Source organism: Homo sapiens, chromosome X, assembly GCF_000001405.40.
Source record: "Homo sapiens chromosome X, GRCh38.p14 Primary Assembly".
Classification (NCBI taxonomy): Eukaryota; Metazoa; Chordata; class Mammalia; order Primates; family Hominidae; genus Homo; species Homo sapiens.
Window position 1 is genome coordinate 131,376,255 of NC_000023.11, and position 26,149 is coordinate 131,402,403.

The following is a 26,149-nucleotide window of genomic DNA, read 5'->3' on the forward strand; positions in this document are numbered from 1 at the left end:
TGGATATATTAGAAATGAACAATACAATAGCTGATTTTAAGAGTTAATGGGCTCAGCAGCAGAATAGACAGGACTGAGGAAGAAATCATTAAACTTGAATATAGAACAATAGAAATTAATCACTTTGAATAACAGGGGAAAAATGAAAAGAGTCCAGGGACATACGGCACTATAAAAAAAATAACTAGCATTCTGGTCATTAGAATCTCAGAAGAGTGGGGAAAACTTTAAAAGTTTGAAGTTTTAGGTAAAAAGGAAAAAGACTGAATATATAATGGCCAAGAATTTCCCAAATTTGGGCCCAATGTAGTGGCTGATACCTGTAATTCCAGCACATTGGGAGACTTTGCAGGAGGATCAATTGAGGCCTGGAGTTTGAGATGAGCCTGATCAACATAGTGAGACCCCATCCCTTTCTGTAAATTATATAATATATAATAAAAATTTTAAAAGAATTTCCCAAATGTGGCAGAAGACACAAACCAACAGATTCAAGAAGTTGAGCACACCCGAAACAAGATAAATTCAAAGGTGCACATCATAATTAAACTTCAGGAAACTAAAGTCAAAGAAAAAAATTAAAAAGCCACTAGAGAAAAATGACACCTTATCTAGAGGGGAATACCAATTAGAACTAAAGGGAGTTCCTCATTAGAAACTACTGAAGGTGCAAGAAAGTGGCACAATATTTTTCAAGTGCTGAAAGAAAAGAACTGTCAGCTCAATAATCTATATATAGTAAAAACATCCTTCAAGAAAGAAAGAGAAATCAATACCTTCTCAAATAAAGAAAACCTAAGAGATTTTTTTTTTTTTACCAGACCTACCCTAAAGAATGGCTAAAGAAGTTCTCTAAAAAGAATAGAAATGATTTTTTTAAATCTTGGACTATCAGGAAGGAAGAAAGAATAAAAAGAGGGAATATACGGATAAATATAATTGAACACTCTCAAATGTGTTTGTGGTGTAGAAAACATTTAAAACAATTATATATTATATGGAGGAGGATCAAAATATGTGAACAGAGGTAAATTTTCTATACATCACTTGAACAGGTAAAATACTGGCACAAGTATAATTACGTAAGTTATGTATATATAATGTAATAACTAATGCAACTAGTGAGGAAGTTATACAAAGAGATACACTCAGAAACACTATAGATACTACACTTGATCTTAGCCAAAAGGCCAAGAAGGGATAAAAATACTACAGATAAATAAAAATTGAATTCTAAAAAAAGAGTAAAAAGTTAAATAAACACAAAGGAAGACAGTAAAAAGAAAATAGAGAAACAAAACACAGAGAGAACAGAAAACCAACAGTAAAATAGCGTAATTAAGCCCTAACATAGCAATAATTACATTCAACATAAATTGTATAAATACACTAATTAAAAGAGATTTGCTAGTGGATTTTTATTTTATTTTATTATATTTTATTTTATTTTATTTTATTTTATTCAGATGGAGTCTCACTCTGTCACCCAGGCTGGAGTGTGGTGGCCTGATCTCAGCTCACTGCAACCTCTGCCTCCTGGGTTCAAGTGATTCTGCTGCCTCATCCTCCTGAGCAGCTGGGATTACAAATACATGCCACCACATCTGGCTAATTTTTTTTTTTTTTTGTATTTTTAGTAGAGATGGGGTTTCACCATGTTGGCCAGGCTGCTCTCGAACTCCTAGCCTTGAGTTATCCACCTTCCTCAGCCTCCCAAAGTACTAGCGTGTTTTTTTAAATCCTCAATTACATGCTGTTTAAAAGACACTCACTTCTCCTGTAGTAGTATAGGTAGGTTGCAAGCAAAAGGACAGAAAATATTAAGCCATGCAAAGATTAATCAAAAGAAATCAGGAGAAGCTATGTTAATATAGCCTCAGAGCAAAGAAAATTACCAGTGACAGAGACGGACATTGCATAATGATAAAACTGTCAATTCACAAGAAAAATGTAACAATATTACATCTATATACACCAAATAACAGAGATACAAAATGTGTGCAGCAAAAACTATAGAATAGAAAGGAGAAATAGTCAAGTCCACAATTGTATCTGGACATTTCTTTTTTTTTTAATGTTTTTTATTTATTATTGTTATACTTTAAGTTTTAGGGTACATGTGCACAATGTGCAGGTTAGTTACATACGTATACATGTGCCATGCTGGTGCGCTGCACCCACTAACTCGTCATCTAGCATTAGGTATATCTCCCAATGCTATCCCTCCCCCCTCCCCCCACCCCACAACAGTCCCCACAGTGTGATGTTCCCCTTCCTGTGTCCATGTGTTCTCATTGTTCAATTCCCACCTATGAGTGAGAATATGCGGTGTTTGGTTTTTTGTTCTTGCGATAGTTTACTGAGAATGATGATTTCCAATTTCATCCATGTCCCTACAAAGGACATGAACTCATCATTTTTTATGGCTGCATAGTATTCCATGGTATATATGTGCCACATTTTCTTAATCCAGTCCATCATTGTTGGACATTTGGGTTGGTTCCAAGTCTTTGCTATTGTGAATAATGCCACAATAAACATACGTGTGCATGTGTCTTTATAGCAGCATGATTTATAGTCCTTTGGGTATATACCCAGTAATGGGATGGCTGGGTCAAATGGTATTTCTAGTTCTAGATCCCTGAGGAATCGCCACACTGACTTCCACAATGGTTGAACTAGGTTACAGTCCCACCAACAGTGTAAAAGTGTTCCTACTTCTCCACATCCTCTCCAGCACCTGTTGTTTCCTGACTTATTAATGATTGCCATTCTAACTGGTGTGAGATGGTATCTCATTGTGGTTTTGATTTGCATTTCTCTGATGGCCAGTGATGGTGAGCATTTTTTCATGTGTTTTTTGGCTGCATAAATGTCTTCTTTTGAGAAGTGTCTGTTCATGTCCTTCGCCCACTTTTTGATGGGGTTGTTTGTTTTTTTCTTGTAAATTTGTTTGAGTTCATTGTAGATTCTGGATATTAGCCCTTTGTCAGATGAGTAGGTTGCAAAAATTTTCTCCCATTTTGTAGGTTGCCTGTTCACTCTGATGGTAGTTTCTTTTGCTGTGCAGAAGCTCTTTAGTTTAATTAGATCCCATTTGTCAATTTTGGCTTTTGTTGCCATTGCTTTTGGTGTTTTAGACATGAAGTCCTTGCCCGTGCCTATGTCCTGAATGGTAGTGCCTAGGTTTTCTTCTAGGGTGTTTATGGTTTTAGGTCTAACATTTAAGTCTTTAATCCATCTTGAATTGATTTTTGTATAAGGTGTAAGGAAGGGATCCAGTTTCAGCTTTCTACATATGGCTAGCCAGTTTTCCCAGCACCATTTATTAAATAGGGAATCCTTTCCCCATTGCTTGTTTCTCTCAGGTTTGTCAAAGACCAGATGGTTGTAGATGTATGGTATTATTTCTGAGGGCTCTGTTCTGTTCCATCGATCTATATCTCTGTTTTGGTACCAGTACCATGCTGTTTTGGTTACTGTAGGCTTGTAGTATAGTTTGAAGTCAGGTAGCGTGATGCCTCCAGCTTTGTTCTTTTGGCTGAGGATTGACTTGGCGATGCGGGATCTTTTTTGGTTCCATATGAACTTTAAAGTAGTTTTTTCCAATTCTGTGAAGAAAGTCATTGGTAGCTTGATGGGGATGGCATTGAATCTGTAAATTACCTTGGGCAGTATGGCCATTTTCACGATATTGATTCTTCCTACCCATGAGCATGGAATATTCTTCCATTTGTTTGTATCCTCTTTTATTTCCTTGAGCAGTGGTTTGTAGTTCTCCTTGAAGAGGTCCTTCACATCCCTTGTAAGTTGGATTCCTAGGTATTTTATTCTCTTTGAAGCAATTGTGAATGGGAGTTCACTCATGATTTGGCTCTCTGTTTGTCTGTTGTTGGTGTATAAGAATGCTTGTGATTTTTGTACATTGATTTTGTATCCTGAGACTTTGCTGAAGTTGCTTATCAGCTTAAGGAGATTTTGGACTGAGACAATGGGGTTTTCTAGATATACAATCATGTCGTCTGCAAACAGGGACAATTTGACTTCCTCTTTTCCTAATTGAATACCCTTTATTTCCTTCTCCTGCCTAATTGCCCTGGCCAGAACTTCCAACACTATGTTGAATAGGACTGTGGAGAGAGGGCATCCCTGTCTTGTGCCAGTTTGCAAAGGGAATGCTTCCAGTTTTTGCCCATTCAGTATGATATTGGCTGTGGGTTTGTCATAGATAGCTCTCATTATTTTGAAATATGTCCCATCAATACCCAATTTATTGAGAGTTTTTAGCATGAAGCGTTGTTGAATTTTGTCAAAGGCCTTTTCTGCATCTATTGAGATAATCATGTGGTTTTTGTCTTTGGTTCTGTTTATATGCTGGATTACATTTATTGATTTGCGTATATTGAACCAGCCTTGCATCCCAGGGATGAAGCCCACTTGACCATGGTGGATAAGCTTTTTGATGGGCTGCTGGATTTGGTTTGCCAGTATTTTATTGAGGATTTTTGCATCAATGTTCATCAAGGATATTGGTCTAAAATTCTCTTTTTTGGTTATGTCTCTGCCCGGCTTTGGTATCAGGATGATGCTGGCCTCAGAAAATGAGTTAGGGAGGATTCCCTCTTTTTCTATTGATTGGAATAGTTTCAGAAGGAATGGTACCAGTTCCTCCTTGCACCTCTGATAGAATTCGGCTGTGAATCCATCTGGTCCTGGACTCTTTTTGGTTGGTAAGCTATTGATTATTGCCACAATTTCAGATCCTGTTATTGGTCTATTCAGAGATTCAACTTCTTCCTGGTTTAGTCTTGGGAGAGTGTATGTGTCGAGGAATTTATCCATTTCTTCTAGATTTTCTAGTTTATTTGTGTAGAGGTGTTTGTAGTATTCTCTGATGGTAGTTTGTATTTCTGTGGGATCAGTGGTGATATCCCCTTTATCATTTTTTATTGCGTCTATTTGATTCTTCTCTCTTTTTTTCTTTATTAGTCTTGCTAACAGTCTATCAATTTGTTGATCCTTTCAAAAAACCAGCTCCTGGTTTCATTAATTTTTTGAAGGGTTTTTTGTGTCTCTATTTCCTTCAGTTCTGCTCTGATTTTAGTTATTTCTTGCCTTCTGCTAGCTTTTGAATGTGTTTGCTCTTGCTTTTCTAGTTCTTTTAATTGTGATGTTAGGGTGTCAATTTTGGATCTTTCCTGCTTTCTCTTGTGGGCATTTAGTGCTATAAATTTCCCTCTACACACTGCTTTGAATGCGTCCCAGAGATTCTGGTATGTTGTGTCTTTGTTCTCGTTGGTTTCAAAGAAGATCTTTATTTCTGCCTTCATTTCATTATGTACCCAGTAGTCAATCAGGAGTAGGTTATTCAGTTTCCACGTAGTTGAGCAGTTTTGAGTGAGATTCTTAATCCTGAGTTCTAGTTTGATTGCACTGTGGTCTGAGAGACAGTTTGTTATAATTTCTGCTCTTTTACATTTGCTGAGGAGAGCTTTACTTCCAAGTATGTGGTCAATTTTGGAATAGGTGTGGTGTGGTGCTGAAAAAAATGTATATTCTGTTGATTTGGGGTGGAGAGTTCTGTAGATGTCTATTAGGTCTGCTTGGTGCAGAGCTGAGTTCAATTCCTGGGTATCCTTGTTAACTTTCTGTCTCATTGATCTGTCTAATGTTGACAGTGGGGTGTTAAAGTCTCCCATTAATAATGTGTGGGAGTCTAAGTCTCTTTGTAGGTCACTCAGGACTTGCTTTATGAATCTGGGTGCTCCTGTATTGGGTGCATATATATTTAGGATAGTTAGCTCTTCTTGTTGAATTGATCCCTTTACCATTATGTAATGGCCTTCTTTTTCTCTTTTGATCTTTGTTGGTTGAAAGTCTGTTTTATCAGAGACTAGGATTGCAACCCCTGCCTTTTTTTGTTTTCCATTTGCTTGGTAGATCTTCCTCCATCCTTTTATTTTGAGCCTATGTGTGTCTCTGCATGTGAGATGGGTTTCCTGAATACAGCGCACTGATGGGTCTTGACTCTTTATCCAATTTGCCAGTCTGTGTCTTTTAATTGGAGCATTTAGTCCATTTACATTTAAAGTTAATATTGTTATGTGTGAATTTGATCCTGTCATGATGATGTTAGCTGGTTATTTTGCTTGTTAGTTGATGCAGTTTCTTCCTAGTCTCGATGGTCTTTACATTTTGGCATGATTTTGCCGCGGCTGGTACCAGTTGTTCCTTTCCATGTTTAGCGCTTCCTTCAGGAGCTCTTTTAGGGCAGGCCTGGTGGTGACAAAATCTCTCAGCATTTGCTTGTCTGTAAAGTATTTTATTTCTCCTTCACTTATGAAGCTTAGTTTGGCTGGATATGAAATTCTGGGTTGAAAATTCTTTTCTTTAAGAATGTTGAATATTGGCCCCCACTCTCTTCTGGCTTGTAGAGTTTCTGCCAAGAGATCCGCTGTTAGTCTGATGGGCTTCCCTTTGAGGGTAACCCAACCTTTCTCTCTGGCTGCCCTTAACATTTTTTCCTTCATTTCAACTTTGGTGAATCTGACAATTATGTGTCTTGGAGTTGCTCTTCTCGAGGAGTATCTTTGTGGCGTTCTCTGTAATTCCTGAATCTGAACGTTGGCCTGCCTTGCTAGATTGGGGAAGTTCTCCTGGTTAATATCCTGCAGAGTGTTTTCCAACTTGGTTCCATTCTCCCCATCACTTTCAGGTACACCAATCAGACGTAGATTTGGTCTTTTCACATAGTCCCATATTTCTTGGAGGCTTTGCTCATTTCTTTTTATTCTTTTTTCTCTAAACTTCCCTTCTCACTTCATTTCATTCATTTCATCTTCCATCGCTGATACCCTTTCTTCCAGTTGATTGCATTGGCTCCTGAGGCTTCTGCATTCTTCACGTAGTTCTCGAGCCTTGGCTTTCAGCTCCATCAGCTCCTTTAAGCACTTCTCTGTATTGGTTATTCTAGTTATACATTCTTCTAAATTTTTTTCAAAGTTTTCAGCTTCTTTGCCTTTGGTTTGAATGTCCTCCCATAGCTCGGAGTAATTTGATCGTCCAAAGCCTTCTTCTCTCAGCTCGTCAAAGTCATTCTCTGTCCAGCTTTGTTCCGTTGCTGGTGAGGAACTGCGTTCCTTTGGAGGAGGAGTGTTGCTCTGCTTTTTAGAGTTTCCAGTTTTTCTAGAGTTTCTGTTTTTTCCCCATCTTTGTGGTTTTATCTACTTCTGGTCTTTGATGATAGTGATGTACAGATGGGCTTTTGGTGTGGATGTCCTTTCTGTTTGTTGGTTTTCCTTCTAACAGACAGGACGCTCAGCTGCAGGTCTGTTGGAGTACCCGGCCTTGTGAGGTGTCAGTCTGCCGCTGCTGGGGGGTGCCTCCCAGTTAGGCTGCTCGGGGGTCAGGGGTCAGGGAACCACTTGAGGAGGCAGTCTGCCCGTTCTCAGATCTCCGGCTGCGTGCTGGGAGAACCACTGCTCTCTTCAAAGCTGTCAGACAGGGACATTTAAGTCTGCAGAGGTTACTGCTGTCTTTTTGTTTGTCTGTGCCCTGCCCCCAGAGGTGGAGCCTACAGAGGCAGGCAGGCCTCCTTGAGCTGTGGTGGGCTCCACCCAGTTGGAGCTTCCCAGCTGCTTTGTTTACCTAATCAAGCCTGGGCAATGTCGGGCGCCCCTCCCCCAGCCTCGCTGCCGCCTTGCAGTTTGATCTCAGACTGCTGTGCTAGCAATCAGCGAGACTCCGTGAGCGTAGGACCCTCCGAGCCAGGTGCAGGATATAATCTTGTGGTGCGCTGTTTTTTAAGCCGGTCGGAAAAGCGCAGTATTCAGGTGGGAGTGACCCGATTTTCCAGGTGCGTCCGTCACCCCTTTCTTTGACTCGGAAAGGGAACTCCCTGACCCGTTGCGCTTCCCGAGTGAGGCAATGCCTTGCCCGGCTTCGGCTCGCGCACGGTGCGTGCACCCACTGACCTGCGCCCACTGTCTGGCACTCCCTAGTGAGATGCACCCGGTACCTCAGATGGAAATGCAGAAATCACCCGTCTTCTGCGTTGCTCACGCTGGGAGCTGTAGACCAGAGCTGTTCCTATTCAGCCATCTTGGCTCCTCCCCCTGTATCTGGAGATTTCAACACCTGTGCCAGTAATTGATAGAGCGAGCAGGCAGAAAATCAGTAAAAATATAGATGATCTGAATGGTACTATCAATTTTATCTAATTGATATATTTTTTTTGTTTTTGTAAGTTTTTATTTTGAAATAAGTTTAGATTCACAAAATCTTACCAAAATATTCCAGAGTTCTTGAATGCCCTTAACCCAGCCTCTTCCAAAGATAACAACTTACATAAGCATAGTTCGTTACCAAATACAGGAAAGTGAAGTTGTTACAATACTGTTAACTACAGAATTTATTTGGAAATCACCAGTTTTAACATGCATGCATTTTTGTTTGTTTTTTATATGTAGCTTTAAGAAATCTTAACACATATATTGATTCATGTCACCACCACCGTAATCGAGATTCAGAATGTTGCATCAATGCAAACTCCCTCATGCTACTTTTTCATAGTCACAACCTCTCCTCAGCCCTAACCCTTGGCAATCAGAAATCTTTTCATCTTTAGTTTTGTCATTAGTAGCATGTTATAAAAATGGAATCATACAGCATGTACCCTTTTGGTATTGGCTATTTCAACTAAAGCAAATTAACCTGAAATCCATCCAAGTTGTTCTGCGTATCATTGTTCTGTTTTTATTGGCCACTAATAATCTATGATACGAATATGCCACTATTTGTTTATTCACCCACTGAAGGACATCTAATTGATATTTATAGAGTATTCCACCTAACAACAGCAGAATACACATTCTTTTCAAGCACTCATGGAACATTCACCAAGATAGACCATCTCCTGGACCATAAAACAAATATTGACAAATTTTTAAAAATTGAAATCATACAGTATATGCTCTCTTACCACAATGGAACATAGAAAAAATAACAGCAAATTTTCAAAACACATTGGAAACTAAACAACATCTTTCTAAGTAATTCATCAGCCAAAAGAAAGCCTCGAGGGAAGTAAATAAATGCACTGAAGTAAATGAAATGAAAATACAATGTATCAAAATTTTTGGGATGCAGCTAATGCAGTGATAAGCAGGAAATTTACAGCAGTAATTTTTTATTTTAGCCAAGAGGAAATAGTCTCCAATCAATAACTTAAACTCCCACCTCAAGAAACAAGAAAAAGAAGAGCAAAATAAATCCAAAGCAAGCATAAGGATGGAAATAATAAAGGTAAGAGCAGAAGTCAATAGGGTTGACAAGAGAAAAACAATACAGAAAATCAATAAACAAAAATTTATTCTTCGAAAACTTTGAAAACTCTTCATAGAAAAAGAAACTCTACTGTAATCAATGTTGAAAATATAAAACTTTGGTGGGGGGGGAATATCTGCAACACCTATTACAAAGACTAAGTTTCTTAACATATGGAAAGTTCCTAGCAGTCAATAAGAAAAATGACCAACAGCCTATTCAAAAAATGGGCAAAAGAAAATGAGCAACAGTTCACAGAACACTGAACATGTCTTTACATACTCCAAATGTTAAGATTAAGAGGTTTGATAATATATTAATTTATGATAATATAATAAAAATATGAGAAAATAACCTCATATATTGTTGATGGAGCTGTAAACTCTCTGAAATCACATTTTATTTGGTCCAGCAACTCCAGTTTGATGAATTTACACTACAGATATACCTACACATATTTTAAAATACTTATACAAAAGGATATTTATTGTACATTGTTGCAGTAGCAAAAGATGGACTATAACCTAAATGTCCATCAATAGGAGACTGATTCAATTATTGTGCATTTATGCTATGAAATATCATGCAGTCATTAAACAAAAAATATTTGATGTGGTGGATTGAAAACATGTTCACAAATCCTTGCCACTCCAATCAAGATGTGGAGTCTGACTGTTTACTACCATTTTAAAATGTTTTCTTACATGAATGTGGTATTTAAACACAATTTGGAATTTTACCTTGTATAACTTAAGAAGCAGAGAGAGTTTGTTTAGGGGGTAGATCTTCCTTCTATGAAGCAAATGTTCCATTATTTCCTTCTGGTTAGAAGTATCAGTCCCAGAGAATGATTCTATGGCTCCTAAAATAACACTACTTATAATGACACCTAGTCAGAGCTAGATTGACTGATTATTTTCTTAGATAACAGCCTTTTTGAGAAAGATCACATATTTACATCAAACCTGGCTGTTTACATTGTACAAGTTAAAGGTTTTTAGTATATTAACAGAGTTGTGCAACCATTACCACAATCAATTTTAAGATATTTTTAACATCCTTCCCCAAATCTTACATCCTTTAGCAGTCACTCCTAATCTCTTCTTCCCTAGCCCATGGCAACCACTAATACACCTTCTCTCTCTATGGATTTACCTATTCTGAACATTTCGTATAAGTGGATTCATACAATGTGTGGTCTTTTGTGTCTGGCTTCTTTTACTTAGCATAATGATTTCAGGTTTATTCATGTTGTAGCACGTAGCAGTACTTCATTTTTTATTGCCAAATAATATTCCATTTTATGGATATGCCATATTTTGGTTATCCATTCATCAGTTGATGGACATTTGAGTCATTTTTGCCTTTTAATTACTACAAATAATGCTGCTATGAGCATTTATGTACACGTTTATGTGTATATCTATGTATTGAATTATTTTAGATATATGCCTAGGAGGAGAATTGCTGGTCCACATGGAAATTCTGTTGAACCTTTTGAGGGACAGTCAGGCTATTTTCTGAAGTGGTTGAACCATTTTACATTCTCACCAGTAATGTGTGAGAGTTCTGTTTCCTCCAACTCCTTGCCAGCACTTGTTATTATATGTCTGATTATAACCATCCTAGTGAGTGTGAAGTAATATACCTCATATACCTTTATATATTTTGGATATTTATAAGAGCCTGATCAGACATATGATATTCAAGTTTTTTCTCCCATTCTGTGAGTTTTTTTTTTTCATTTTCTGTTTTGTAGCAAATTATATAGTTTGCTTTTTAAGGAAATCTAATTATTTATTTGATAATTGTGCATATAAAAGTTAGAAGTGAGAACATAACGAGTTAGGAGTGCAGCCTCTGAATTCATATATATCTGGACGTCCAAACTTAACAGACTTTTTCCTGCTTAAAATCATGAAAGTAATTTTGTTTAGGTAGCCATTCTGGCATGTTTGTCCAACCATACTCTTAAGGGAAACCTTAAATATTAATCCAGTCATAGTGACTCAATTCACATTGCCATTGATTGCTAACAGTGATGATGTGACAATTCTTTTTCCTTTAATAGATTTATTGAGATAAAATTCACATGCCATAAAATTCACCCATTTAACGTATACAGCCATTTAACATATAGATTTTACCTATTTAACGTAACACCCATTTAACGTATAGATTTTTAATGTATTTACAGAACTGTGCAACCATCACCACAATTTAGTTTTAGAACATTTTCACCATCCCAAAGGGAAGCCCTGTACCCATAATCAGTCACTTCCAATTCTCTCCCTGCCCTAGCCCCTGGCAGGCACTAATCTACTTTCTGTCTTTATAGATTTACCTATTCTGGACATTTCACATAAGTATAGAGTTATACAATATGCAGCCTTTTCTATATGGCTTTTTCCATTTGGTATGGTGTTTTCAGGGTTCATCTATGTTGCAGGATGTATCAGTACTTCATTCCTAGATATGGTTTGGATTTGTGTCCTCGCCCAAATCTCATGTTGAATTATAATCTCCATTGTTGGAGGAGGGGCCTGGTGGGATGTAATTGGATTATGAGGGTGGATTTCCTCCTTGCTGTTCTTGTGATAGTGAGTGAGTTCTCATGAGATCTGGTTGTTTAATGGTGTGTAGCACCTCCCCCTTGGCACTCTCTTCCTCCTGCTTCTGCCATGTAGGACATGCCTGCTTCCCCTTCACTTTCCACCACGATTGTAAGTTTCCTGAGGCCGCCCCAGCCATGTTTCCTGTACAGCCTGCAGAACTGTGACTCAATTAAACATCTTTTCTTTATAAATTACCCAGTCTCAGGTAGTTCTTTATAGCAATGCAAGAATGGACTCATACATGCGGCATGTATCAGTACGTCATTCCTTTTCATGATTGAATAATATTCCATTGTATGGATGTACCACAGTGTGTTTATCCATTCATCCATTGATGGACATGGATAAACATGTTGGGTTCTTTTCAACTTTGGGCTATTTTAAATAATGTTTCTGTGAAAATTATTGTACAATTTTTTGTGTGGACATATATTTCCATTTTTTCTTTGCTAGATACACCAGAAAGGAAATGCTAGGTCACATTTTAACCATGTTAAATTATAATCAACATGTAACCTTTTGAGGGACTGTCTGTTTTATACAGTGGATATACCGTTTTGCATTTCCACAATGGGAAATTGAACTTTCCAGTTTCTCCACATTCTTGCTAATAAGCTGATTCTTTTTTTTTTTTTTTTTTTAGATGGACTCTCGCTCCTTCACCCAGGCTGGAGTGCAGTGGCGTGATCTTGGCTCACTGCGGGCTCTGCCCCCCAGGGTTCACGCCATTCTCCTGCATCAGCACCCCGCGTAGCTTGGACTACAGGTGCCCGCCACCTCGCCTGGCTAATTTTTTGTATTTTTAGTAGAGACGGGGTTTTACCTTGTTAGACAGGATGGTCTCGATCTCCTGACCTCGTGATCCACCCGCCTCAGCCTCCCAAAGTGCTGGGATTACAGGCATGAGCCACTGCGCCCGGCCAATAAGCTGATTCTTAATGGAGATGACAGGAACCTAGAAACCAAAGAGGATCATGAGAAAGAGAAGTAGTCAGGGAATCAGGTCAGAGACAAGGAAACAAACAAAGGATTGGAAGGCTCATGGATTCATAGCAACCAAAACTTCAAGTAGTTTAGATATTATGCCTGCCTAGATTCAGAGCCCCTGCTCTTCCCACTGTATTATATTTCTCTATGAGAAATTTTTAAAATGGAAATGAGGGAAAAGTGAGTTAGAGGAAGAGGATAGGAAAGCACTTAATGAGATTGAAAGCTACCAAAATTATCCTTTCTCTGTTGAAGCAGAAATAACAAAGTCCCAACTTCAGGCACTGAACAATGGAAGTCATATCTGATCCTTGAAGAGGATGGCTCTTCCTTTACCCTGAATTGAATCTATGTTCATCTGCCACCACTGTGCCATTTATCACTTCCAATCACATTCAAAGAAGTAGCGATATCTCATTCCCAAGGTTCTGCATCCCCCTGTTTAGCCTTTCCCACCCACATGGGCTCTGCGGTTTTGAAGATGTCTTGTTGGTTTTTCTGCAGCCTGGGACCAGGACACCACACGCTCAATGGATGTTGTAAGGAATTACAGGTGATGTTTGTGTCTTGTGAGTATGGATGTGGAGATCATACCCTTCAGTTAAGAATAATTCTAATTCTACTATCCACTAGTCTTTTTCATAAAATGGAGTTGCAAAGCCTCCCAAAGCTGTCTCCTGTTAGTGGTCATTATCCTTATTGCATTCTGTTTTTTCCACTATTTAAATGAAGACATACTGCCCGGCATCTCCCCCAGGCACAAGTTCTACTAGTAATGACAATTTTTTCATTAATACCAATTGTATACATAATCTTATTGAGTTTCCACAATAACCTAGAGAGAAAGAAACTGTGATTACCTTTAGGTTTTATATGAGGAAACTGAGACTATCGTGCCTTTGGATTGATCAGAGGCTGAATTTAAAGATAAGTGAACATTGTTGGACAAACAAAAGACCTCCCAGCTCTCAAAACAATATCTACTGGAGGTAGGTGGAAGAGAAGGTGGGTAGAATTAGGGTTTTCAATGTGGACAATAATCAAGTACAAAGGAGACAGTTATCTATCCAGATGGTTTAGACTAATGATTCCCAACATGCTTCATGTTGTGACATGCTAATTTTGTCTAATTTTATTAATTCCCTGAAGCAATATGTGGGTTCTTAAAAGTAATTAAAGTAGAATTAAATGTTATGTTAATTAAACATGGCTTTAAATGAATTTGAGATGATGTGAATTGGTTTTGCCCCTTGGGATAACTGCAAAGTGCCTATCCTGATTTTGTGACAACTCAGAGTATTAGGAACTGAAATCTTCAGAAACTTGAAAGAGGTGACTGAGCCAGAATATCTATCAGGTCCCTGAGTTTGCATCTTAGAAGTTTTGTCCTAGTTGTCATTTGGTACCTGTGGGAGGTAATTCCAGTGTTATGGTAAAGTTCATTCTAGAGATGAATAATCCTCCTCAGATTTACCTTTCTTTTTATCTTTTTCTTTTGGGCTGCTCCTTCTCCTTCATGCTATCACTATAGTAAGGCAACTGGACCGCCATGCTTTTTGGATTCACTCCCCATTTACCTCTCTGTCCTGCTTAGATTTCTCCCACTTTCGGTTCCCATGGCCAGGGTCCTGTCTAACCTATTTTCCAAGCATCAAAAGTGTCTTTACAAATCTGTTCTGCAACTCCCACTACTGATGACTTCTGTGATATTCCTCCTTTGGTCAAGTTGGTCTTCTTTCCTCCTCCTCTGTGACTTGGAAGCCTTTAGTTCCCACTATACCATATCCATAAGGATTCATTATTCTTAACATTGTCAGTTGGCCCTCTGCTCCAGATCATGCACATGTCCTTCTACCCCTCACCTCCCACCTGACTGCTCTCAGCCTGTGCTATAGACTCAGGGTGTTTGCCTGATTCCCCTTGACCCCCATCCTTGGGGTAGACACTTACTGGGCTGAGATAGGCTGGTTTCAGTGCCCGTGCCAAGGTAGTCTGCATGTTCCACTGCATAATCTGAGGACAAATGTCTGGTAAAATCTTTCAGAATTCCAGTCATTTCTCCTGTCCGCCTGTTCAAACTGAAGTTTCATTTAAAGCCTTTGTGTTTACGAGAGGTTTGATCATAGAAGGCAAATCTTCCCAGTAATGTCATTTAGCCTATGTTTTTATTTCTGCATTTAATAAAATGCAGTCAAATTCCAAATTGTGTATTTCACTCTTGCTTGAGCATATTGATAGAAGCTGTTGTCAGCTATGTGTTCTTCCTATCAATCAGTCTTTTCAAAGTTCTTTGTTAACAATTAGTCATCAGGGTTCATCCATACATTGTTGTATTACACAATCAATCATTAAACTCAAGGGGAAAAATGCTTATTGATGTGCATATTTTTCCCGATATATTTTAAGTGAAAAGAGCAGGGTAAAAAACCGTATTACATTATTATTCTATTACAAACACATTTACACACACACACACACACACACACCCCCCATGAATATATTTTAAATGGAAGATTAAAAGGACACCAAAGTGCTAACAGTGATTGTCTCTAGGTGCCAAGATTGATCAATTTATATGTTCCCCTTCCTTCTCCATATTTTCCAATTTCTCAATAATGAGTGTGTAATTCTTTTATAGTCAGGAAAAAGTAATTTTAGATAATTCAATTAGTTATCAAGGTCAACCAGCATGTGTGGAAAAGGTGACAATTCTTACTGAAGAGAAATTAACACCTTTATTGTTATGAATTGAGGTTACTTTTTAAAGTAGGAACCTATCTCTAAAATTAAAATGGAAGTGGAAACTTACTGAGTTTGAAAGAATCATTTTACATATCACTTTTCAAGTAAAACCAATTTCTATTTTGCTTTTTCTTCAAGTGCTTAAACATTTTCTCTTCTGGGGCCCTTATTTTATGCTCCCCAAGAGAAAGGGCCATGTCTCCTATTTCCTTTGGCATCTCCCACCCCCTCCCCACTCTCTTTCCTGTACTGCTATACACCCAAGAATAAGTCAGTGCACACGATGTGCACGCAGAAAATGTTTGTTAATGGACTTGGTTATTTCCGTTTTCTACTAAATCTCATCCTAGTCATGTTTTCAGAATCATAGAACATGGCTCCTTACTCCTCAGAAGCCTGGTATCTCTCCCTACTGCTCTTGCTTAGTGCCCTGGGTCCCAGAACTCCACCCTTAGATCTTCACTCTTGCAGTGTGAGGTAGACCCCAGCCAGTTCCGAGCTCCAGGGCCCTTGCAAGGATGCCAGGTTTACGCCAGCCATTTTCCCTGACTCATGGGGGCTTGGCCAGCAGGTCAGTCACTACCCAGGAGGCCAGTCACTACCCAGTCTCGAACATTCCTCCCTGAATCAGATGCTGCTGACTGGATACCTCCAAGAATCCCAGTGGGTTGACAGAAGTGTCAGCTTTAGGCCAAAGGAGTCTCTGGGATGTCCTTGCCTTGGACAGAAGCTGGGGACCACACAGCCAGCTGACTCTGCTGCCCTGCCTTTGGGGTTATAGCATCTTGCCACTGGGCCCCCCAAACTATCCTTTCCCTCAATACCTGCTCATTTGCTCAGGTCCCCGGATCCAGCCTAGGGACTGTCTCGGCAGGGTCCTTCTATCAGAGAGCCCAGGACCAGATGCTGCTCTGAGCACCACCACCCAGAGCAGCACCAGGGAGGGATGCCCAGCCCAGAATAGCTGGAGCAGCCCCCCTGCCCCCACCCCCTGCCGACCAGGGAAGCTGACTGAGCTCACCCTGAGTGTGCTGGGGGGCAGAGGAGACCATGCAGATGTGCTGAGAGCTCCCTGGAAAGCAAGGCTCAGCTTCTTCTGCTACTGTCACCAGCAGATGGAGAGAGGGGTCAGTATTTATCCTCTTGTAACACCTGAGGGGACAGAGTTGCTGACATGTCTCATAGAGTCCTTGTCCCCCACCTCCCTCACCCATTGCCCACACTCCCTCATCCTCTCACTTCAAGAGGCCTTGTTACCCCCCTAAAGGCCTGGATTAGGCTCCACTGGTTAAAAATCTTGTTCTAACTCCAAGTCCCCTAGAATGTCCATACCTTTAAGGGCTGGCACTGGTGCAGCAGGACTGAGGTAGAGACCCCAGAGATTCACTTACATAGCTGTTTCCAGTAGCCAAATGACCAGGGACCACTATTTATGAGACAATAGGATATCCCTTTCCTGAGAACATGTTGGCCAAGCAGCAGAAGTGGGTGTGTTGTCCCTGAGGCTGAATTTGGTGGTCTTGAGACCTAGCATAGTGAGGCCAAACACTGACTTGGATGGGTGCTGAGCCTGTGAAGGAAAAAACTCTACCAGAGAAACCTGACTGGGTTCGCTTTGTTTGTACAGATCTAGTGGAGTTCCCCTTAAGCCTGAGAGGCCACTGGAGCCTGAGAGGCCACTGGAGACCAAGTCTGGTTATACGCTGTAGAAGCTGGGTAAATACCATTTGGAGCACAGGTCTGCAGCAGATCCAGAGTAAATAAAACCTGATACCTGCATTGGACATCTAAAAAATGTTGAATCTGGCAAGCTATAAATGATAACATGAAACAGTTATTGAGTGTGTGCGATGTCTGGATACTATTCTAACCAATGTGAATGCATCATCGCATTTAAACCTCGCAGCAAATTTAAGAAGTGAGTAATGTTATTATTCTTATCTTACAAATAAGAAAACTGAGAGATAAAAAGGTTAAGTAACTTGTCTAACATCACAGAATTTGGAAGTAAGAGAAATGGGTTTCAAAGTCTGGCAGTCTGATTCTAGAGCTTGTACTCCTAACCACTACATTATACTGCCTGACAAAGATAAAAGAAACCCCTCTCTGTGAGCAGGGCTGGCTTCATGAGCATGTGATTGTACAAGACCTTGAGCTTAGGAGTGCTCTGCACTTAAAGTTTAATGTCACTGTCTTGAAATTTTAAATAATTTGAATATTAGCATAAGTGAAATGCAAAATCCAATGGGACAATCGAGTATTCACTGGGAGTTTGGAATATCTGATAACACACAGTCCCACTTTTCACCACCTCTCCACTTCCCTGGGGTAGGTTTTTAGCTGTCACTCGCTTCTTTCTTAGTACTCAGGACCCCATCCAGCCTCCCCTTCTCTATCCTGCCCAGTAATAGCTACAACCCTCCACACAAGGGAACTGAGCCAGGGCACAAGGAGAATTGGGGTCATACACACTCTGCAAAATCTCACAGTTGGACATGATAACAGCAATCTGGCCCCAAGTGAGCAGTGTCATGGTGCATTTGGCAGGTTATCCAGCAGAGCCTATTGCCCACTCCAATCCAGACACCTAGTGCATACTGTGCAGAAGTTGTAATACTCTTGGTGGTTGCCTGACCACAGTGGGTTGGGGCAGCCTGCCCATGGGAACGGGATATACCTGGTTTCACTTCCTCCATGCTGAACAGAGCATGATGCACCTATCTGTGCAGAAGCTGATATAAGGAAAAATCCAGTAACAAGTGAGTCATGCACATGGGCAGCGAGTCACTGGGCAGAATCACTGCCCACTTATGAAGTTCTGCACTTGCTCCACAAATATCCCTGTGCCTGTGCAGGTGTGGCATTAAATAACAAAAACAGCATGGCAGGTTGAGAGAGAGACTGCAGAAGAGAGAAAAACAAAGCTTTATATCTGAGCACCTTTAATAGCACTTCTTCCTGTTTTTTTCAACATGGAGCTTCACATTTACATTTTGCATTGGGCCTACAAATTATGTAGCTAGTCCTGCCTACAAGGACACTCTATTACTAAAGAATTTTGCTATCCTCTGAGATCTACCATTTCCCATATAGAAATGGTGAAGGCTGATGAGGCTGTAGTTGTCTCTGGTATTTCTAGGGCTGTTTGGAGGGTGGGGGACACTTCAACTAGCCAAAGAGATAGATGCTAAGTCAGTGTCTGCAATTCAGTCTGATAAGGCCCATTTTGTTCACCCTTCCAGCTTGTTAAGCATCACACAACATGAAAGGGCTGTAGTAGACAGTATTCTAAGGTCGTGAATCAGGAAATCTGAATGCTAATTCTGCCTCTGCCACTGACTAGCTGAGTGATCTCCAGAATGGTGCCTTTCCTTGGGGATGCTGTTTTCTCATTTGTGAAAAAAAGCAGATTTGATTACTCTAGTGTTTTCAAACTGTTCTTGAGTTTCTGTAGAGGTGCCTCAGGGATGGAGAAGTGAGTACTAGGCTATGGGTGCCCCATACTTTCTTCAGCCAAACATCTTCCACTTTCATGTTTTGTAAATTTTTGTTCTGTATTTAAAATTATTTTTAAAAAATCATTCCAATGCTTAAAAAATTAAAATCCATCAGTCTAAATTCTCACTATGGGCCCTTTCACCTCTGACTTCAGATTCTGAGAGTTTCTAATCATGAACCTCACAAAGGAAACAAATGCACTTTTATTCCAGGAAAAAAATCTTCCATGTCCTTGAGCCAGTTACCAGAGAAGAGCAGAAATCCAGGGAGGACAAGGGATTGACCTGGGTAGTATTGAGCTGGAAGGTAAAAGCAATGAACAAAAAGAGGTTCAGATTCCTTATTTTGGAGCGACAGTGTCAACAAGAAACATCTGCCAAACCACAAGGACCATGTAGAAGCTGGTGTCCCAGGAGGTAAGATTTTCTACCTTTCCTCCATTGCACAACAAGCTATAACCATGCCTGGTGGAGAAAATGGATGAATAAGGAAGGTTAGCTGTGAGTGAATTTCAATTCTGCTAATGTTTTTTGAACCATTACCAGATAACCAGGCCCTGTGTGGGACCTAGGTGGGAGCCAAAAAAAAAAAAAAAAATGGCTCTATCCACTTAAAGGGTTTCAATCTAGGCAGACAAAACAGAATATCAGAAAATTGCACAAAGAATTTCATAAGAAGGGCAAGCGTCATAATGCTACAAAAGGCATGCAAAGTGCAATGGGAGAACAGAATATGCACACTCAGTTTCCTCTGAAATGTCAGGAAAAGCTACCTAGAAACGAAGATAGGATTTAAATTTGGATTTAGTAAATGAATAGAACTTGGACAAACAGGGCATGGAGAGATTTACATATCATATTTACGAGTTTCAAATTTATCTTATAGGCAAAGAGAGACGTGGAAATTTTAAGCAATTTGGAGGGTAGAAGAAGGCTGATGTGGTCGGATTTACATTTAAACCTCTGTGGTTGTTGTGTGAAAGTAGATTTCACAAAATCCGGGATGGATTCAGGGAGAAGGGTTAAAGGACCATTTAGCTAATCCTGGCAAAAAAAAAAAAAAAAAAAAAAAAAAAAGAGTGTGCCAGTGATGGTGGAGGCATTTGTGAGGGAGAATTGACAGGATTTGGTGATTGACTGAATGTAGCGAGTGGAGGGAAAGGAAGTGTTAAGGGTTGACTCAAGTTTAGGGCTCAAAAAACTGGATGGTGCCATTCACATAGGTAGGGGACAAGGAAAGAAGAGCATCAGGTTTAGAAGGGTTCAATTTTTGAGATAATAAATTTGAAGTGCCTGAGAAGCTACCAATTGCAGGTTCCAACTGGTAGTTGGATATAAGGATCTGAAGCTCTAAGGGAACTGGGTTTCACATGGCTACCAAGTAAACCGCACTGCCACACTCAAAACTAGGGTTTAGGGTTTTTTGGAAGATGGCTACTAGGGCTATATAGTTTCTGGGAGTAGTAGAGGCAGAAGAAAAACTATTCTTAGAACTCAAAGATCCCTAGATTATAGATTAGGCACTAACCTAGATATAGATAAATGCTACTTTCTGCTTTTCCTTGCAGCTTGACCAATTTGATTATTTCTCTCCAACTAGTTGTTTGATTTTGGTCACCTTCTCTTCTTTAGGCATTAGTTTTCTCATTTATAAAAGAGCTTAAGGTTTTGTATTATTCATATATAAGATTGTAAGCTTATAAAAATATCTTGTTGTTCAATATATTTACACAAAATAGCAATATCCAGGAATTTCATGCAACCTTACAAATTCTGAGAATGAGTTAGCCATGGACTAATGAATTAATTGGGGTTTTATTTACACTTGCATTGTATGTTAGAAGTATATTCAAGAATAGCAATGGACTTGGCCCTGGTCCACTCAGAATTTGCATATAGAAAAATTATAGCTGCAATTCCGGCCTGGAGTTCCTACTAACCAATGATTCATTGTTCTTTACAAAGGATTTGCAAACTCTAATTAGTGAGCCCAATCTATTATTTAGCTATCACCCTATTTAAGATTCACCCCTACAAATCTCAATAATTGCACATGAGAATTCATGTATATGCTTACATTTTTAAGTCTCACAGTGCAGTGGTGGTAGAGCATTTGGAATAGAAACATTTAGAAGTGTCCTGAATCTTTATGACAGACACGTACTGAACTTAATTCAGTCTTTGGAGCACTAAGTAAATCCTCAATATAAGGACATGCATGGTACAGCAAAGTTATTTGCATCCCAGTTGTCATCCATGTTCTCTTCTATAACTTACAGTCAAATTATATAGTTTCCTAACCTTGTTATCTTGGAATTATTTTAACTCATGACTAGGGTTATCACACAGGCTTACCACTCAAACTGACATATTTATACTCACATACATATTTCCCTCCTAAATATTTCTTATCAGACAATTGTTTCATAAAATATATATTATTTTGTTTATATAATTTCTGCCTACGGTGTTGCTGTTGATCTAGACAACTACTTTTAAACAATTAGTTAGAGTAATTCAGTTTTTCTTAAGAAGACTTCATTTGCAGGCAAGAAAAACACTGTGAATAAAACCGTGAGCAAGTCTTCACAGAATATTTTGCATTTTTGAGACACTCAATAGAAGATTAAGGACTATGTCTCAATGTTTTTCATAGGGCAACTTTCACTTCCTCATTTCTCAAACTATAGATGAGAGGATTTAACATGGGGATCACCATTGTATAAAATACTGACACAATCTGATTTCCTGCCCCGGATCCATGTCGCGAGGCGGGCAAGTAAGTGTACATAGTTGTTTCATAGTACAGGCTAACAGCAGTCAAGTGGGAGGCACAGGTGGAGAAGGCTCTCTGTTTTCCAGAAGCTAAGGGAATTCCTAGGATAGTCATGAGGGAAGACATGTAGGAGACAAGGATCACCACAACAGAGGTGACCAGGGTGAATCCCCCACAGCCAACCACCAAGATCGGGAGGTGATCCAAGGATCTGAGCAAACCAGTACCAACAATGAGGGAATGTCACAGAAGAAGGCAGGGAGGACACATGGTTGACAAAGCGATAGTTGTGTGATGGAAGTTGTCACAGTGACCATCTTAACTAACCCACCAAGGTAGCATCCTGCTACCAAGAAAAGATAATGGCCTCTTGACATGGTAATGTGGTAGAACAGTGGGTGACAGATGGCAGTAAAGCGGTCATAGGCCATGCAAGTTTAAAAAATTGCATTCAGCAGAGGCAAAGATTACAAACAAGCTCATTTAAGTTATACGGGAAAAGGAAAGAAACATACTGCAGCTTAGAAAACAAATGTGCTAAATTCTGTGGAATTGTAATGGAAGAGAAACAGACATCAAGGAAGGACTGATTAGAGAGGAAAAAGTACATGGGGTGTGGAGGCGGGAGCTGACTCTGATCAGAACCACAAGGCCTAGATTCTCCAACACAGTGATGATGTAAGCAATAAGAAAGACTCCAAATAGCAGGACTTCAAGCTGAGAGTTATCTGTCATGCCGAGAAAGATGAAGTCAGTCACCATGGGTGAATTTTCCACTGGCACAAGCTGAGAATTATCCTTAAGTAGTTAAAAGTTCTTTAGACACTCTTTAAGCGAGAAAATAAGAGAAAACTGGATGATATGGATAAAATGATACCACACAAAACACACAAATCCACAAAATTCTCCAACCCTGCCTCTCATCTACATTCTTACTTTAAATAACTTCTCAAATATTATCACCATTTTCCAGGTATAACATTGAAAATGTAAATGCTGAAGGAAAAGGGGAGGGTGGGGAAAGAAGGTAAAAAAAAATTCAGAAATAAAAGGAACAAAGGGAAAAAAGTAAAAGTCTAGTCTGCAAAAGGTGTTTGATAATATTTATTGAAGGAATGAATAAGTGAGGGAGAAAGAAAATGGGTGTCGTCAAGAGATGCTCTTTACTGAAACAGGACTACAAACTCTTAGAAAAAAAACAATCCATGCTATGGAATTATATATCACTCTCTCTCCCTTTTCCAAATCATGCCCAAGGAATTATTGAAAATGAGGTAACAATAGGGCAAAAATGTTAACTCATTCCATCTTCACAGATAGTTCCCCCCCTTTGAGTATTTGTGACATTATTTCTGAGACAGCAGAAGTCAATACTCACTATTCTGCTTGACCAGTAGAGTGCTTTCCAAGATCTTGATCATCATTTCACTGGTAGATTATTGCAGAAACCCTCATGCTCCTAAACGACCATAAGAAACTGAGCTCAAATTTGAAGGCATCACTTGTATCCTGTGAAAGAGAAACCAAAGAATGACCAAACCCCTCAGAAATTATGTAGCTCCTGGCTGATCGTCACCTGCTGATTCCTCTAACCATGCTTGGGGCAAAGGTAATGCAGCTGTAAAACTGACTGTGAATTCTACAAGGACTTATTGAGCAGACATGTCTGAGCAAAGGACCAGATTGCACAATGGTTGGCATCAGGTGCCACTGGGGCTAAGTGCATGGTCACTGTTCCTCTCTTCTATAGTGATAGATTATCTCTGATGCTGGCTTGCTGCCTCGAACAAATGCCCTGAGTGAAGTGCCAGATAAGAGAAGGGATGAGTCCACCTCCATTTATAAAATCTAAACTAACTCCGAGCCCCTATGGCTCACTGGACAGCCATCGGTAAGTGGTGTCTAGAAGGGATTGCTGTATTTGGCTATAGGTAGACGAGGGGACATTTGAGTCTCTGACCATTGGTTAAAAGGGCAATCTTGGAAACAACAGACACTGGGGACTCCAAATGTGGAAAGGAAAGGATTGGAGCAAAGGTTGAAAAACTACCTATTGCATACGAGGTTCACTAACTACATGATGGATTCAACTGAAGCCCAAACCTCAGTGTTACGCAATATACCCATATAACAAATCTGCATATGTACCCCCAAATCTAAAATAATAAAAAAAGAAAAGAAAGCCATTGCTGTTTCCATTCACCATAAGACACAGGTTCTTTACTTGGCAGTAAAATAACCAATTCTGGAGCTATAAGAATCTCTTTGAATCCTGGATCGGGAGATCACTGGCTCTGTAACCTAGGACTTAACCTATCTAAACTTGAATTTACAAATCTGTAAGGGAGGGGCACTAGTAGAACGTATGTCACTGGACAATTGTGAAGATTGAATAAAGTATTGTAAGTAAAGCACTTGGCACATGTTAGATGCTCACTGATTCCTACTTTCTCCATTCCTTCATGACCACTCCCATTTACTACTTTTTTTCTCCCTATTTTACCAAATGGAAGCAGAGGTATTATGTGTCCACATTATTATTATTTTAGATGGACAGAAGTGAACCTTTGACAGACTAGCTGAAGTATACTGAAGTATAATTTCCATACTCCACTCCCTATTACACACACGCGCGCGCGCGCACACACACACACACACACACACACACACAGAGAGAGAGAGAGAGAGAGACTTTGCTCAGAATGGATGAAAGAAGGGTCTTTCACTTGTGATGGTAATTCACTCATTTTTGCTCTACCCAAACTGTGAGTGTTAACTTCCGCTGCCGCTGCAGCTGCTCCTGCTGCTACTCAACACAGCACCCCACCCAGGGGAACATTCAGCAACTTACACGATTAAATGGAAAGACTCAGGGAGAAAATTTGGGGCTGAATGAAGGTTATGGAAAGAGAACTGTTTTCAGAGACAAAGACATGAGTTCTAGTCCTGGCACTAATTAATTTGTATTGTCATTCAGCTATAGAAAAGCCACTTAACCTCTTTGAGCCCCATATTTTCTCATCTAGAAAATGGTAAAAAAAAAAAATACCTACTATGCCTCTCTTTTAGGGTTGGCATGATAAGATAATGAATGTGAAAGCACTCTGTAAACTCTGAAGGGTGATACAATACACATGGAATGGATCCCTATTATTATTCCATCATGGAAGGTGGGAGAGGGAGGAGGAAGATGGCAAGATGATAATTTTCTGTTGCCTCCTCCAGTTCCTGCTTACAGAGTTGCACTCTTTGCCCTCCCACACACCCCCTACACACACATCATCTGCTCTGCCTCTCTACTGTGAAAGTTTCAACCTGGGAGGCTTGAAACAAACAGCTCTAAGCTGTTCACTTATATTGTATCGTAAAAAATAATTTTTAATGTTAGTTTCATGTTCTTGTATCATTTTAAAAATTTCCCATTTTAGGATAACTCTATTTCTTGATGTTCCCATGCTCTGCAGGTATTTAATAAATAAATATTATTTCAAAGAGTAAGTGACTCTCTATTAGCCCCTAAAACATGATGAAATCTTTTTTATAAGACAGAATTTCTTGTTCTTCCCAAAGGAAATAAACAGACAAAATTATGACTTTATGAAGGAAATGATTTGATATTCCCATTCCCATGTGCCACTGCATTCACTAGTGTCATGATAGCAGCCAGAACAGTTTTATTATTATTTTGGCTAATGTATCTTGGATGTTTACCTGTTGGAAATAATCAAGCACTCCTATTTATTGAAGAAGTGACCCTTCATGTTTTTAAAAAGTGAATTCATGTATTTGTCCCTGGAAGCAATTATATTATTTTCAGTACTGGTTCTTAAAAAAAATTGATTACCCCTTTATCAGTTCTTTAGTTATGTAGTTCACTGTGAATCTTCTAAAAATAGCCTAACATTTAGAATTTAAGTAAAGGTTCACTTATTTACCTATTCAATAAAATTTCTTCAGTGGTTAATAAATGTCAGGCTTCCAAAATATCATCTATTCCTATCCGCCCATTTCCGGGTGAAGAAACAAACAAGTCCAGAGAGGTCAAGGGACTTGCTGGAGACCTCACAGTGAATTAGCGACAGAGCTGGTGTTGGAACCCAGATCTCCTGACCTAATTCAGTGACTTTGTAACACTATCTCTCTTCTTTCTTATTTTCTGAAGTTATTCTGGAGCGGACTTTCACCTTTGGTATATTTATTCTTCCAAT

General features: G+C 39.4%; 2 long non-coding RNA genes and 2 pseudogenes across 5 annotated transcripts in view; 1 reads left to right on the top strand and 3 right to left on the bottom strand.

Moving 5' to 3' along the window:
• The window catches only part of LOC102723546 (uncharacterized), a 40,882-nt gene extending 15,082 nt beyond the window's left edge, over positions 1-25,800 (bottom strand). The window contains exons 1-3 of one of the 3 annotated variants that reach the window (XR_001755966.2): positions 23,518-23,562; positions 23,320-23,400; positions 12,763-12,894 (exon numbers count right to left, since the gene is read on the bottom strand). This is a non-coding gene — a long non-coding RNA (uncharacterized LOC102723546). Of the gene's footprint in view, positions 1-12,762; positions 12,895-23,319 lie in introns of all 3 variants that reach the window. The other 2 variants (XR_938590.3, XR_938589.3) reach the window with 2 other exon arrangements.
• Positions 1-26,149, top strand: part of LOC107985705 (uncharacterized) — a 32,916-nt gene that overhangs the window by 930 nt on the left and 5,837 nt on the right. Inside the window, exons 2-3 of one of the 2 annotated variants that reach the window (XR_007068335.1) lie at positions 9,197-17,586; positions 19,379-20,246. This is a non-coding gene — a long non-coding RNA (uncharacterized LOC107985705). Of the gene's footprint in view, positions 1-9,196; positions 17,587-19,378; positions 20,247-26,149 lie in introns of those variants that run through there. The other variant, XR_001755967.2, reaches the window with a different exon arrangement.
• On the bottom strand, positions 1,078-1,202 carry LOC124905286 (uncharacterized; annotated as a pseudogene).
• On the bottom strand, positions 21,795-22,703 carry OR5BH1P (olfactory receptor family 5 subfamily BH member 1 pseudogene; annotated as a pseudogene).